General features: G+C 48.7%; 1 long non-coding RNA gene across 1 annotated transcript, besides 3 other annotated features; it reads left to right on the forward strand.

The window, feature by feature from the left end:
- Positions 6,595-7,369: an enhancer, noted in NCBI's record as "NANOG-H3K27ac-H3K4me1 hESC enhancer chr22:27706583-27707357 (GRCh37/hg19 assembly coordinates)". NCBI's record gives its function as "activates a minimal SCP1, AML or CMV promoter by ChIP-STARR-seq in primed H9 embryonic stem cells {active_cell/tissue: H9 hESC(primed)}" and the evidence as "EXISTENCE:reporter gene assay evidence [ECO:0000049][PMID:30033119]".
- LINC02554 (long intergenic non-protein coding RNA 2554) lies at positions 6,624-13,813 on the forward strand. Its single transcript, NR_134581.1, has 2 exons — positions 6,624-11,022; positions 12,777-13,813. It is a non-coding gene; the product is annotated as a long intergenic non-protein coding RNA 2554 (long non-coding RNA).
- Positions 7,370-8,143: an enhancer, noted in NCBI's record as "NANOG-H3K27ac-H3K4me1 hESC enhancer chr22:27707358-27708131 (GRCh37/hg19 assembly coordinates)". NCBI's record gives its function as "activates a minimal SCP1, AML or CMV promoter by ChIP-STARR-seq in primed H9 embryonic stem cells {active_cell/tissue: H9 hESC(primed)}" and the evidence as "EXISTENCE:reporter gene assay evidence [ECO:0000049][PMID:30033119]".
- Positions 10,094-10,295: a silencer, noted in NCBI's record as "fragment chr22:27710082-27710283 (GRCh37/hg19 assembly coordinates)". NCBI's record gives its function as "represses an EF-1alpha promoter that drives an FKBP-Casp9 reporter gene in an ReSE screen in K562 erythroleukemia cells {active_cell/tissue: K562}" and the evidence as "EXISTENCE:reporter gene assay evidence [ECO:0000049][PMID:32094911]".
- Positions 13,814-14,279: the final 466 nt, after the last annotated feature.

Raw genomic sequence — 14,279 nt, forward strand, 5'->3', positions numbered from 1 at the left:
CTATAGGCCTTGAAGAACAGTCAGACCAACATCTCAACAATAATAATAGCTTGAAGTGAGGGCACCTGAGCAAATCAGTGTATGGAGAATGGTGACAGGGGTCTACATATGGCATCAAAGAAGTAAGTTAGAAGGCTCTTTGATTCATGGATCAGAAGGAAAAAATAAAAGCAGGGAGCAAAGGATGCCAAGTACAGTTATTCAGGTTGTGGACTGCACAAAGGCCTTGCAGAGCCATATCCTTGCCTTCATGGCCCAGAAAAAATGAATAAAGGCAGGAAGCAAGGGAGGTCAAGTACAGATATTCAGGTTGTTGACTACACAAGGGCCTTGCAGGGCTAGGTCCACTTGAAGAAGGGGTTATTTTCTCCACCTCCCATCTTCTCTCTATCTCTCTCCTTTCCCTGCCCTGACTCCCCATGATATAACCTTCCTGATTCAGGCTTAAGTTCTCATGTCTTCAACAGTGTCCTCGCAGGTTGCAGGAACCAGATGCCTACATCTCAGCAACTCACCCCAGCCCTGATCCTCCCACTTTCATAAAAGAAAGAAATGAGTCTCAGAGAGATCCAGCGACTTTTCCAAGATCACACAAGCCCAGAGTGGGCAGAACCATGGTTCATGCTAAAATCTGCTGCCCCGTCTAAGGTTTTTTTCTCTCACTGTGATTGTCAGGAAGCAAACCACCAATTCAGATGTCACCATTGGTGGCACATCCTTGGGCAATCTGTCCCTTTCAGGAGCCTGTCACAGGCCATGAAAGGAAAGTAGGGCCACATTTCTGATTTCTATTTGCTCCTCAGGGCCCAATCTCTAGCTCACACTCTGCTCACACTCTTGCAAAAGAAAGGGCCATGTTAGACTGAAGCCAGAGCCATCGGGACCTGGATTTGTTCTTTCCTTGAAACCACAGGATACCCATGGCTTCACTTCCAGATCCACAATTTAAACCACCATATATTCAGATCCATGTAAAAGTTTGGACCCATAGGCAACATTTTTGAAAAATCACACAGTCCCCATCACTCCCCTTCATGGCCTCATCACCTCGACTTCTGCTGGGGACCTGGGCCATTTTCCTTCCACCCCCCTGACAGAGGCTGTGAGTTTTCAGGGGCAATGGTGATGAGGTTTCTGACCGACTTTTGACCAAATGGATTTCCAACTGCATTTGAAAAGGAAAATAACTTTCCAATGTACCAAATAATGAAAAATGACTGGGCGAGTTTATAACTGTTGATTTAGCCACCAACTTCCCCCCAGCCCTGACTCCGGTTCTCTGGAGGTTTTCATTGAGCATTAATTCACTCTCTTTCTCAGCGCACAAACAGGTCCTTCTGAATCCATTCTGCAGCGTATTAGCTTCAAGGCCTGTTGGAAATGGCTTAGCATCTGCTCTTAATAGACACTGCAGCGTGCGGGGTGGGCGAGGGCTGGGATGGGGTCTCACGGCGTCAAAGAACAGACATGAAATTTCAGGGAAGCAGCACCTTGAGAAGCTGTTGCCTGGAACAAGCACAGAATATAGCAGGGAAGGTGGCTTTTGGGGGCCTCAAGAGGCACAGACGTGAGCTAAACCACTCATAAGCCCTCCAACCCATTCAGCCACAAAGAAGATCAAGGTAAAGAGTCAAAGATGAATGCCGGGCTGGAGCTTTTCTGGCTATGCTGCATTTGAAACACGCTGGGAGCTCTTTTTTTAAATATTTTTTATTTTTTGAGACAGAGTCTTGCTCTGTCACCCAGGCTGGAGTGCAGTGGTGCAATCTTGGCTCACTGTAGCCTCCACCTCCCAGGCTCAAGCGATTCTCATGCCTTAGCCTCCTGAGCAGCTGTGACTACAGGTGCATGCCACCTCACCCAGCTAATTTTTGTACTTTTAGTAGAGATGGGATTTCGCCATGTTGGCCAGGCTGGTCTCTAACTCCTGGCCTCAAGTGATCGGCCAACCTTGGCCTCCCAAAGTACTGGGATTACAGGCGTGAGCCACCACACCCTGCCACACTGGGAGCTTTTAAAATCCCCAATGCCTGCCCACACCTCAGATCAATTGCATGAGAATGTCCAGGGAAGGAGCCCAGGAATCTGCATTTTCTTAAATTCCTGCAGCTGGTTCCAATATGCAGTGAAGATTGAGAACCAGTGAGCTAGGGCTGCTAAGACCAGTGGTTCTCAAGGTAGATAGCCCAGACCAGCAGCATCAGCATCACCTGGGAACTTGTCAGAAATGTAGATTCCTGGGTCCAACCCAGACCTGTTGAATCAAACACTCCTGGAGTGTACCCAGCCATCTGTGTTGTCACAAGCTCTCCAAGAGATCCTGATGCTTGCACAAGTTTAGAGGCTGCTGAGCTGGACATTGGCAGGGTAGGAAATATGTATTCATCCTCCCAGTCATTCCTTCACTCCACCAACTGCTCATGCTTTCAGCATACAGTATCCCTACTACAAGCCAAGCACTGTGCCAGATATTGGGAATCCATTAATAGGGCAGAGGTGGTGAATTTTGCATTCAAAGAGCTTGCAGTCCCCATATGGAATTTTCCATATAATAGAACCAAAGATAGTCATCAAAGTAGGAAGGGATTTGAGCTGAGCCTTCCAATAACTGCCTCAGTTTCTCTCTTTTTTCTGCCTGTGTGCATCCAGTGTGAGCAGCTCACATCACTGCAAAGGAATCCGTGTGTGTACTGTCTCACTCACCCAACATTCATTTAGCAGACGCTTCATTAAGCATCTACACAGTTCCAGGTTCTGTGATAGAAGCTAGAGATTGAGGAAGGCTCAAGTCTCCCAAATGACAAACTCCAGAGGTAAGCAGAACAGGTGAGAATAAAAGAGGGTTCAGAGCAGACTGTTCCTGTTGGAAGCTCACCCCATGACAGATGGCAGCATGGGTCTTCCCAGTCTGGCCAGACCGGAATACTAGCCAGTTTCCTTCTCATGTGTAGAAGCAGAAAATTGTAGCAATCAAAACTATGGACTCTGTCCCCAACAGTCTGGGTTTATACTTGGCTCTGAGGCTTACTAGCTGGATGGCCTTCAGCAAGTTATCTTATTTCTTCATGCCTCACTTACTTGATCTATAAATTGGGAATATAAACAGCACCAGCCTCACTGCATTGTTGCAAGAATTAAATGAGAATTGGAAAGCTTAGAACAGTGTCTGGCATGTAAGAATTATTAGTTGTACTAATCACAAACATTACTTTTGAAAAAGTTGCTTGAAAATAAAATTCATTTTAAAAACAGATTGCTTTTCATGTGTACTGGAGATCTTGCTTCTTCAATGATTACTGTAGGGGATCCATTTTATAAAAGGAATAACTTGAGTAACCATATGTTGAATTTGCTTAAAATGAAGTAAACATGTCACCTGCTTCTGAGAGTGGCAGAAAGGGAGCTTTGCTAGGAAGTGTGGCAGGATTATTATGAAACTCTCATCTCAGATGGATCTGGAAATCCCTTGAAGTCCCTGATTTTGCATCCATGCTGGTCTGTCTTCTCTTCTTCCTTTCCCCTGATAGTTCTTTCAACACTGAGAAATAAGAAGATGTTTTAACTGAGAGCTAGTAAGGGACAACACATCCTTCATTCTTAATATGTCAGGATGGGAAATATTAAGAACTTCTATGAATCCACAAGCCACCCTTGCTCTGAAAATGGCTTCCCTATATATTTGTCTCCACTTCCTGTCTCACAGGAAGTGGCCACCTCCCGTCTTTGTGGCATCATAGCCAAGGTGCTTTGCCTAAAATCACTCATCTCTTCAAAGTCCCTGGCATGAGCTACCCATCACTGTCTTATGCTCAGTGACCCAGGACCACCTATGAGCATCTGGGCCCAAGAGATGATCTCAAACTTTTCACAATTATTTCAGGTATCAACAAGATGGAAATAAAGCCAAAAGCTGTGCTGAGATTCAACCATCAACATCCCAAAAGGAATATTCTGTTTCCCAGCATTTCTTGCCAAGGATGATCTCAGATTCGTCTGTTTCCATTCACTGTGAGCAAAGGCCTCAATTTTAATAAGGGTGTGGTTCTGTCTCTCCCTCTCCTGTTCCTGAAATTGGGCTGGGTGGGGACACTGATGGTCAGAACAGGGGCGAATCCAGAGAAAAGTATCTCCACCTTGGCAGCTCGTGAAGTCTGCTACCTACAAGGGTTTGAGTATCTCTCCTTGAGGCTCTGCTCCCACACAATTCCCTCTCCTGTGAACCTCTGTCTGCCCCATCTCCATAGGATTCATTTTTTTTAATGTTGAACATTTATTCTGAGAATGGAGAGTTGGATAAGATATGGCTCTGTCTCATGGGGCTCACAGCTGGAACACAGGATGGGGGCAAGCAGACAAATGCACAGACAGTTAAACACAGTTGCAAGAAGCATGACATTTGGGGAAAGGAGTGCTTAAAAGCATGGGGAAGAGGCATTTAACAGCCAGGAAAGTTCTGTGAGCAAAAGGTATACAGACTGAGAGAGGGTTGTGTAGCAGCCCTGTTGGAAACTTACTTGCAGCCTTCAGCCTTATTAATTCAGTGTGCTCAGCTGTTGGTATCTTTGAGTCTTAGGGATTGTTCTAGAGATCCACAGGGTAGGCTGGAAGTGCCAAGGGATTTTCCTGCCCCAACCCAAAGCAGCTCTCAGCTAGTGACTCTTGGGAGATGGTGTATCAATACCCCAGCTCCCTCACTCCTCAGGTGGGATGAATTCTGAAGCTTGGATTTTAGGGCTTTCTAGAATTTGTCTGCTGGAGTGAGCTCCAGTCACCCACACTGATAACTGGCTTTAAGACATACCCTTTATTGGCTGGATTATTTCTCCCACTCCCATCTTGGGGCTTCCTGGAATCCCCTCCCCAAAAATATTTCTTGTCCCTAGTTCCTTATCTCAAAGTCTGCTTCTGGGGAAATTCAAACTAAGATAGTATGTGAGGAGGAGAGCAATGTGGTCAGGTTTGGGTTTCTGAGGAAGGGCCACTCTTTTTGTCCCTGTGGTTGGAAAGAGTCTCTGAAATGAACAATTATTAGTTATATTTTCATGTCTTAGAGTGGACAAGAGAGAGAGAAGACAGCCAGTTACGATATTCCCAGATGGCTAGGACACAGACCATTCTTCCAGATCTGGAAATGCTAACAATGTTTCATTACCACAGCCCTGACCAGCTTGAAGCAACCTTCCTCATACCCAAATCAAATACCTGTGTGGAGAGACTAAATCTGTCTAAAGGCGACACAACCCACCCCGACTCATGTGTTCATGCATGCACTCAATAGGAAAACAGGGCCAGGTGTGGTGGCTCACGCCTGTAATCCTAGCATTTTGGGAGGCCTAGGTGGGCATATCACCTGAGGTCAGGAGTTCGAGACCAGCCTGGCCAACATGGTGAAACCCCATCTCTACTAAAAACACACACACACAAAATTAGCTGAGCATGGGGTGGGCACCCATAATCCCAGCTACTTGGGAGGCTGAGGCAGGAGGATCACTTGAACCTGGGAGGCGGAGGCTGCAGTGAGCCAAGATTGCACCACCGCACTCCAGCCTGGGTGACAGAGTGAGACTCTGTCTCAAAAAAAACCAAAACCAAAACAAAACAAAATATATATATATATGAAAACAGAAGAAAAGGGCACTGCAAGCTGGAAGGTGTCCTAAGAGAGGATGGCACAGAGGGGATCTCCTAAATTAGCCTGAGCTTTCTTCCAGACCCTTCCTTCCAGGAATGCTAACATTGTTAGCATTTCTCCTAATGCATCCTGCAGAGCTCAAATATTTTCAGAGTGCCTACTTTGTGTAACCACGATTGCACCTCTGGCTATTTTTTAAAGTCCAAGAATAGCCTAGATCAGCCAGATGCTTATAGATCCTGCCAATAACCAGGCCCAGCTTTGCAAGAGCTTTGCAAGAGGTCAAGCTTTGCTTTGCAAAGGCCCAGCTTTGCAAGAGGTCAAGATGCTCCTGGCCCTGCTGGCTCCCAGAGAGCCTTCCTCTCCTCCCCTAAGCCTCACAACTCCCAGGAGAAGATTCTGCAGATGGAAGCCCCGAGGTCCAGGGAGGTTCCAGGATTCACCCAGGGTTGCTCTGCTTGATAGGTGCAGGATTCAGGGCCAGGAGGACCCAGATCCAAGGCACCTGGTCTGGCATATTTTCAGGCCCAGAGATGGGGAATGATCTGTCCAAAGGGGACTTCTGATGAAGGAAAAATGAGACAGTATTCATTGAATACCTATTGCATGCCATGGGGTGACGGTGGGCAGGGCCACATGGTCCCCAGCTGCTATGCTCTCCAGAGGGATGATCAGATTTGTCCCAAGTGTCCTTTACATGGCCAATTGCCATGCGTGTCTCATTATTCAAAAGGAGAAATTAACATTTAATAGAAAAGAAAAAAGAAAGAGATGGAGGAAGATGGGAGGATGGGAAGGAAGGAAGGAGGGAAGGAAGGAAGGAAGGAAGAAGGGAGAGAGAGAAGAGAAGGAGGGAGGAAAGAAGGAAGGAAGGGTACAGGGAAAAAGGAAAAAAGGAAGAGAGGAAGGAAGGAAGGAAGGGAGGGAGGGAAGGAGGGGGGAGGGAGGGAAGGAGGGGGGAGGGAGGGAAGGAGGGGGGAGGGAGGGAGGGCAGGAGACAAACCTCGGAAGGGCTGCCCCTCAGAGACATCAAGTGGAATATGAATACTGATTTCTAACCCCACTTCCAACTCCTGAGTGCTTTACGCTGGGCTACAAGGTTCTCAATGTCTCAGTGCCTCAGCGTTCTGATTTATCTTATGGAAGCCTGCCTCATCTATTCATATATTGCATTCTTAAACACAGAATAACAACAACAGCAATGACAACAATGCTAATAGCGCTCCAACAGAGCTTGCTGTGTGCCCAGCCCTGTTCGAAGTGCTCCCCAACTTTGGCCCCTAGGATGCTCAGGACGGCCCTCTGAGCAGGCACTGATGTCGTCCCCCTCACATGCAGAGAAACCAAGACATGAGCGTGGTCAGGTCGTTCGTGCAGAGCCACCGGGCTGGGGATGGGCAGAGCTGGAGTGTGTGGGCACAGGATCGGGGTTTGTCACCACTGTGCTGCACTGCCTCTGCACCCCAACTAGGCCTCACGCTGATGGAGACATCGCAGTGCATGGGAGAACATTCACTGCGTGGTGCTGAGGACGCAGCAGGCACTCGGTACAACCTGTTCCTTGCGTGGCCCGCTAGCTTTGGGTCCCAAAATAATCTGCCTCCTGAATCTGCAACTTTCTCCCCACCTGCTGGGCATTCTCTTAATTCAACCGAAGCCTCTCCCTGTCCCCATTAGGACGGCCACTCCCAACAGGAGTTCCCGGCCTGTGAAGGCCAACCGGTCGGGGCTCAGCACCCCATTATCATTCTGCCACTTTCCAAAGGAAATTATAAGCACTTTGTGTCAACCCTCATCTGTCCCGGCAGCCGCACCGCAGGAAAGCGATTGAGGTCAGAGAAGGCAGACAGCCTACCCATCACACCCGCCGCGGCCATTCCTCATGTAGTGACATGCAATCTCCCGCCAAGGGTCACCTCTGGGGAAGCGATTCCTTCAAGCCTAGAACAAGTGCCGAATTGCAGCTTTGCCGAATGATCATGTGGAACACATTGAAAATAGCCGCCTCAGTAATAAATGCTTAACCAAAGCAGCCCCTTCCTCCGGCATAACCAGGAGCATATTTACTGTAAATATGTTAACCAATTCATGCTGCAGCACATGGCCGAGGAGTCAGCTTCCCAGGCAGCAAAGAGCAAACCCCCGCTGGGCTGAGAAGGAGCAAGCCGCAAAGGAGAGGATTGTGTCCGCCAGGAAAAGGAAGAGGCAGGAAAAGGCACCTGGGACAGAGGAGCCTCCTGCAGGCCCCACAGCCCCACCCGACAGAGGAGTGGCGAGAAGGGGACTTGGCATTCTGCATCTTGCCGTCACCTCTGTGCCCCACGGAATCTGTGAGTTAAGACTGGCTCCAAGAGAAGTGGCGTTTGTGTTTCTCCTTCATTTCCTGCTCACATGGTGAAGTCCGTAGTGTGACAGCTCTGAACTCCACAGGATGAATCAGGGTCAGGGGAGAGGACAGGAGGAAAGAAGGAGCGAGAGAAAGGGGAGAGAGAGAGAGGAGACGGGAGAGTGATGGCGAGAGACAGAAATATGAATGAGAAACGGGAAAAAAATCGAGAAGATGATGAGAAGCCTGAAAGACAGAGAAAGCAATCTAAGATGAGAAAAAGAGCACTGAGAAAGAAAACATTCTGGAGGAGAGAGAAGGAGGGGCAGAGAGGGGAACAAGGAGGGGGTGGAGAGAGGGAGATTGAGAGGGCATGAGTTGTCTCTGGAAGGCTGGGTTTTGTTTCCACTGGGAAGAAAAAATGTTCTTTGTTATCAAAAGCCTTGAGTGACACCAGCAGCTCCTCCCCACCCCTCTCTAACACACTAGCACCTAGGCTGGTGTACACATACACATGCATACTCAAGTGTGCACACACACACACTAACATGCACATATTTGTACACACACAAACATATGCATGCACACACATATGCACATTCATGTGCACGCATGCATACTCGTGCACATACACACTAACATGCACACATACTCAAGGTACACATATATTCACATGCACCACACATACACACATGCATGTGCATGCACATACAAGCACACACACGCATATGCGCACACCTACTCAAGGCACACACATACACGCACACATTCACACATTCATACATGCACACTCATGTGTACACACACATGCATAGGCACACACACATACATTCACACACACGTATGTGCACACACATACTCACATGCACACATTCACATGCACACACTCGTGCACATACACTCACGTGCCCTCATACATGCACATATATGCACACATGCATGCACACATACATCACATCCAGGCACACAGCCATCTAGAGGCACACATACACTCTTACAGCACACAGTCAATTCCCTCCCCCTACCCCTGAACCTAATTCAGTCCCAGAACAGAGAGAGCAATACAAGGTCTGAGCCAAAGGAAACAGACCAAAGCCAGACTGGGTCTGGGTGTGGGGGAGGAGGAGGAAAGGGGTCGGGAGGAGGCAGCCCAGGTCAGGGGCCCAGAGTGGACCAGCAATGCAATTGGAATGGGAAAGAACCGTAGAGCCCCCTGAGAGGCTGCAGCCCCTCAGGCCTGGCCCTCAGGCCTGGGCCTCCCTTCATCCCAGTTTCAGGCTGCATTCTTAATCGGGCCACGGCCCCGGCTACCTAGAGAGACAGTCACACACTGGCTTCAAGACCAGAGAAACCCCAGCAAAGGGCAGCCAGCTTCTGGGCAAAGAGTGAAGCCACCGGCTCCCTCCGGCTTGCAGCTTCTCCTTTCTGAAGTGGGTGGGCAGTTTCCGGCCAACCTTTTGCCTCCTTCTCTCCAGCCGCCCCTGCTAACTCCCAGTAATTTGCCAAAATTAACAGATTTATGGCAGCATGTTGGTTTGGATCAACTTTTCGTATGTACTTTGCAAGAGAAAAACATTTTCTTCTCCCCCGACTTACTGTTTGCCCATTAATACGCTCCACATTCACTGGTGCTTAATGACTGTTCAAATTTTCTCTGTTCATAGAGAATGTTGTTGTTGTGATTAAGGGTGCCAGGGTGCTTGCAAGTACAAACACACCAAAGCCATGAAAAGGGCAATTAATTCTTTAAAAAAATGCAAGAGAGTGGGAGAGATTGGATGCTCTGTTTACAGAAAAGCAAGAAAGAAAACAGATATTTCTAAGAAGTGTCCTTCCAGGACAGCAACGTCTCCTGTAAAAATGTCTCCTGGAAAAAATGTTGAAATACAAATGTTCATGGAAACTGCTGTCCAGCAGACATTTGGTTATTCAACAACCATGTGTCAACTACTCATTATGGGCCTGGTTCTGGGGTAATTCATAAAGGAAGCCACAGGGTGTGGGCGAAGTGGACATCTGGGCCAGGACTGAAATCCCAGCTCAAGATAAGTCATCCCTTGCCTCTGAGCCTCAGTTTACCCATCTGAAAATTAGGAGGTGGAAATCCCAAGGGTGGCTATCAAAATTCAAGAGGACATGTGTATCAAGGGCTTAGCTTGCTGCTAGCACATAGTAAGTGTACAAGAACTGCCTGGTTCATTATTCGTTCACTCTCCTGAACAAATCAGTGGCCGTTTTAATGGCTTTGGTGTGTTTGGACTTGCAAGCACCCTGGCACCCTTAATCACAGCAACAGCACTCTCTAGCACCAGAGTACGTTCTCTGGGCCATGGGCCATGCCATGGGGCTGGATTTTGAAGTTACAACTTCAAGAAAGGCAAGTTTCTGCCCATGTATGGCTGATGATCCAACGGTGGGAGACAGAAACTACTAAACATCTGCAATGGCAACGTGTCCAACAGTGATAAATGCCTGAAGGGAAATAAAACAAAGTAAGATACAAAGCAGGGCCAAAGTAGATAAGGCCCTGCTGAGCTGTGTTGGATGATGTCATCAGGGGCCTGGGGAGGCCAGCAAGGTGACTTGTGCAGACACCCGAGTCGGGTGTCGATATCTTCCTCCATACCTTTTATCTTTCCTAAAAATATGGTTGGGAAGCCCTGGTCCATCTGCAAAGGACAGGGGCAAGTTGGCCTATGCGCTAGCAATTGCTACATATTGTGAGAGCTCTTAAACCAAAGGTCAGGACACACCCAGTGAATGTTTCCCTTCCAGATAAGAAAAATATTCTGAGCACCTGCTATGCGCCAAGCGTTGTGCTATGTAGTGGGGGCACAACTGCAGGGAAACCAGACATGGTCCCTCCCTGCCTCCTGGCATTTAGAGCCAAGACAGAGGGTCAGATTATAAATGAACACAGGCACCATGATTATTTCATCTCAAACTCTGGTTGGTGCTATGGGAAAGGAGCAGTGATCTTTGAGACCTGAGAGGGGGTCCTGATGGAGCAGACACCAGCAGAAGGATCCTTCCGGGAAGTGACGTTGAAGCTAAGCTTGAAAAGGTAAGTAGGAGGTAGGGAGGAAATGGAGGGTAAAAGAGGGAACACTGTTTCTGACAGAGGGAACAACAGGTGCAAGGGTCAGGTCAGTGGGAAAATGCATGGGCTTTGAAGTCAGAACCCAGGTTCAAATCCCAGCCCCACCACCTTCCAACTGTGTGACCCTGGCCAGGTAACAGGGTCTCATTCCTAAAGTGAACTCAAGGAGACTTCATTGGCTTGTCCTGAGGGCCTGCGTGAGGAGAGTGTTAGTAGAGTGAAGTCCTAAAGGAAGGTTGGTTTCTTGTAGAATCGTGAGATCAGGGGATGGGATGGCCTTGGGACAATGGTCAAGACATCTAGCTTCTAGTCCCTGTTCTGTCAATTTGACTCATCTGACCACCCTCCATTTCCCCCATTATAAAATAAAGGGGTTCTATTCTCTGTTGTAGGAAAGTAACATTGAATCCACAGAATGAATATGTATCAGGGGGCAGGTGTTAATCCAATAACACCCCTGTGGCCAGTTGCAGATTCCCTCATGGCCAAGACTCATCCTGTCTTATTGGGCTTCTCAGAATCAGGTCACTTCTGCCTTCTGCAAAGGAGTCCTTGCCTCCTTCCCGGGCACCTCCCATCCTGCTGTGTTCCCATCACCGGCTGTGCCTTTGATCAGCTCTGTGGGGCCCTCTCCTCCTGACAACAGGACACTCCTGGAGCCACTCTTCTCCCCTGCATGCCCTCCCTAGGACACCTCATTCGGCTAACAGTTTCAATGCCATGTGGGTGCCATCAGCCCCAATGTCTGTGACCAGCCTCCCGTGCCCACCTGCCTCCTCTCCTCCTCTTCATCTCCCCTTTGACATCTAAACAACACCCAGACCTAACATCATCCAAACTCCAACCATGATCCCCACCTGACACCCCCACAACTTACTCCACTTGCACGGGTGTCCCCATTTCAGCCTAGGACAGTGCCACCCTCCCACTTGCTCAGAAAAAGAACCTGGCAGTCATCCTGGACTCCTCTCTCCTGCTCACATCCCAGTCCACATACAGCCAGCCAGCGCTGTTGCTTCCAACTTCATCATTTAGACAGAGTCCACTCAATTCTCACCACCTCCACAGCCACCACCCAAGTCCAGGCCACCTGCACCTTTCGCCTGTTTATGGCAGCAACCTCCAAGAGTCCCCAGGGTTTTTATGCCATTCTCAATTGTTGATTCTGCAAGTTAAAATGTATGTCAGGTCAAGTCCCTCCTCTGCTGGAGACACCCCGACCTGTGTCCCAGCTCCCTCAGAGGAAAACCCCAAGTTCCCACCACTCACCCCACTGTAGCCTGCCCCACATGGTGGCCTCAGGGCCTTTGCACTTGCTGGTCCCTTGGCCTGGGATGTTCTTTCCCCACATGCCACTGCCTTCCCTTTTCCAGTCCCAGCTGTCACCTTAGGGAGAGCTTGCTGCCAGCCCATGTAATAAGACAACACTACCTAGCCTCCTTCCTGCTTCATATTTCTTCATGGCATGTATTCCCTTCCTTGACATTCTCTATTCTTAACCTATTTAGGTGCTCATTCTCTCTCTCTCTCTCTCTCTCTCTCTCTCTCTCTCTCTCTCTCTCTCTATCTCTGTCTCTCTGTTTCCAAAGGCTACCTCCTTGAGGCAGAGATCTTTGTCTGGTTTGTTTGGGATTAACGGGGACACCCAGTAAATATTTGTTGAATGAATGACTTTTGTGACTCAAGCAATTATTCATTCATTGGCTGTTCGACCTCAGAAAGAAGCCAGTGGACATCTTCTGGTGAGACCCAGAGCACCCCACCTGCAAGGGGCCTGATCTCCCTTGAACCAAGAGCCCTGCCACTCGCCCCAGCTGCCTAAAGGCTGACAGGAGAAGAGGGAGTCAGAATGGTGCTCCAAACAGAGCTCACTGGAATCTCAGCTCAGCCATTTACTTGCTCTGTCAACTTGGGCTCTCGCTGCAGGTACCTGAGACTGTTTTCTCGCCTGTAAAATTGGAAGGTGTTATGGGTTGAATTGCTTCCCCCAAAAATATGTTGAGGTCTTAACCCCTTGAAATGTGACCTGAGTTGGAAATGGGATCTTTGCAGATGTCATTAGTGAAGACGAAGTCACACTGGAGTAGGCTGGGCCCTAAATCAAATGGCTGTTAGTTTTATAAGAAGAGGGAAATTTGGACACAGACACACACAAAGAGGAACAACCAGCGTGTGAAGACAGAGGCAGAGATTGGAATGAGGCAGCCACAAGCCAATGAACCGCTGCAGCTCCCAGAGGCCAGAAGAGGCAAGGGAATATCCTCCCCTAGAGGCTGCAGAGGGAGCACAGCCCTGCCAGTGCCTTGATTCGAGACTTCGAGACTTCCAGCCTCCAGAACTGGGAAAGAATAAATATCTGCTGTTTTAAGCACTTTGGTTTGTGGTGCTTTGTCACTGGCAGCCCTGGGAGTAGTCCAGAATTATAACCCCTACCTTCCCCGAGGACTGCTTGTCCAGAGGGTTCCCCAGGGTCCCATTCTTAACAGATCCTCCTTGAATGCCCTGCAGCCACCGCTGATGTGCTGGAAGTCACTTCTGCTGGCTTTGATGAAGGGAAGGAAGCAGATGAGAAAGAGGGTGTATATGAGTGACTCATTGAACCTATTGTCTATCCATAGAGAGAGGGGACGAGAGAGTGCCTTGTCCCCAAGACCTGGGCCCACAGTGGCCCCTTAAGTAAGTTCAGGCCCTCTCACCTGGGCAGGGGTCAGAAGCCTAGAGCAACAGCAACCACTGAAAGCCCTCAGCACTCCACTTAGGCCTCCACTCCAGAGCCTCAGAGCTGCCAGCTTCTTCTCCCTGATACCCCTGCAGAAACTCAGCCACCTTCTATTTAGAAGGATCAGCCATCAGATGCTTCTAAATAAATCCAATCCCTCCACCCTCCTGCTTTCCACTTGCAACTGTCTCTGTCCACTGGCACTTGGACCCAAGAGCTAATTGCAGAAGCTTCATCTTAAAGGAAACCACAAACACGCTCTCACCCACGTTTTACGACTTTATAACTCACCAAATAAACCTGATTCCTATAACCATAAAACAAAGCCGAAATGAGTTGGACATGTACCAGCGAGGAGAAGCAGGAGGCGGGTGGAGATTGCCAGAGGGGGCTCTCAGCTGTGGAGTCGCGGCTCTCCGTGTGGATTTCGGCATCTCAGTCTTGCAGAAACTTAATATTCCAATCAGCACCCAAGCAAGGCGTTGGAAGCCAAGGAGTGCAT

This window comes from Homo sapiens, chromosome 22 (genome assembly GCF_000001405.40).
Source record: "Homo sapiens chromosome 22, GRCh38.p14 Primary Assembly".
Classification (NCBI taxonomy): domain Eukaryota; kingdom Metazoa; phylum Chordata; class Mammalia; order Primates; family Hominidae; genus Homo; species Homo sapiens.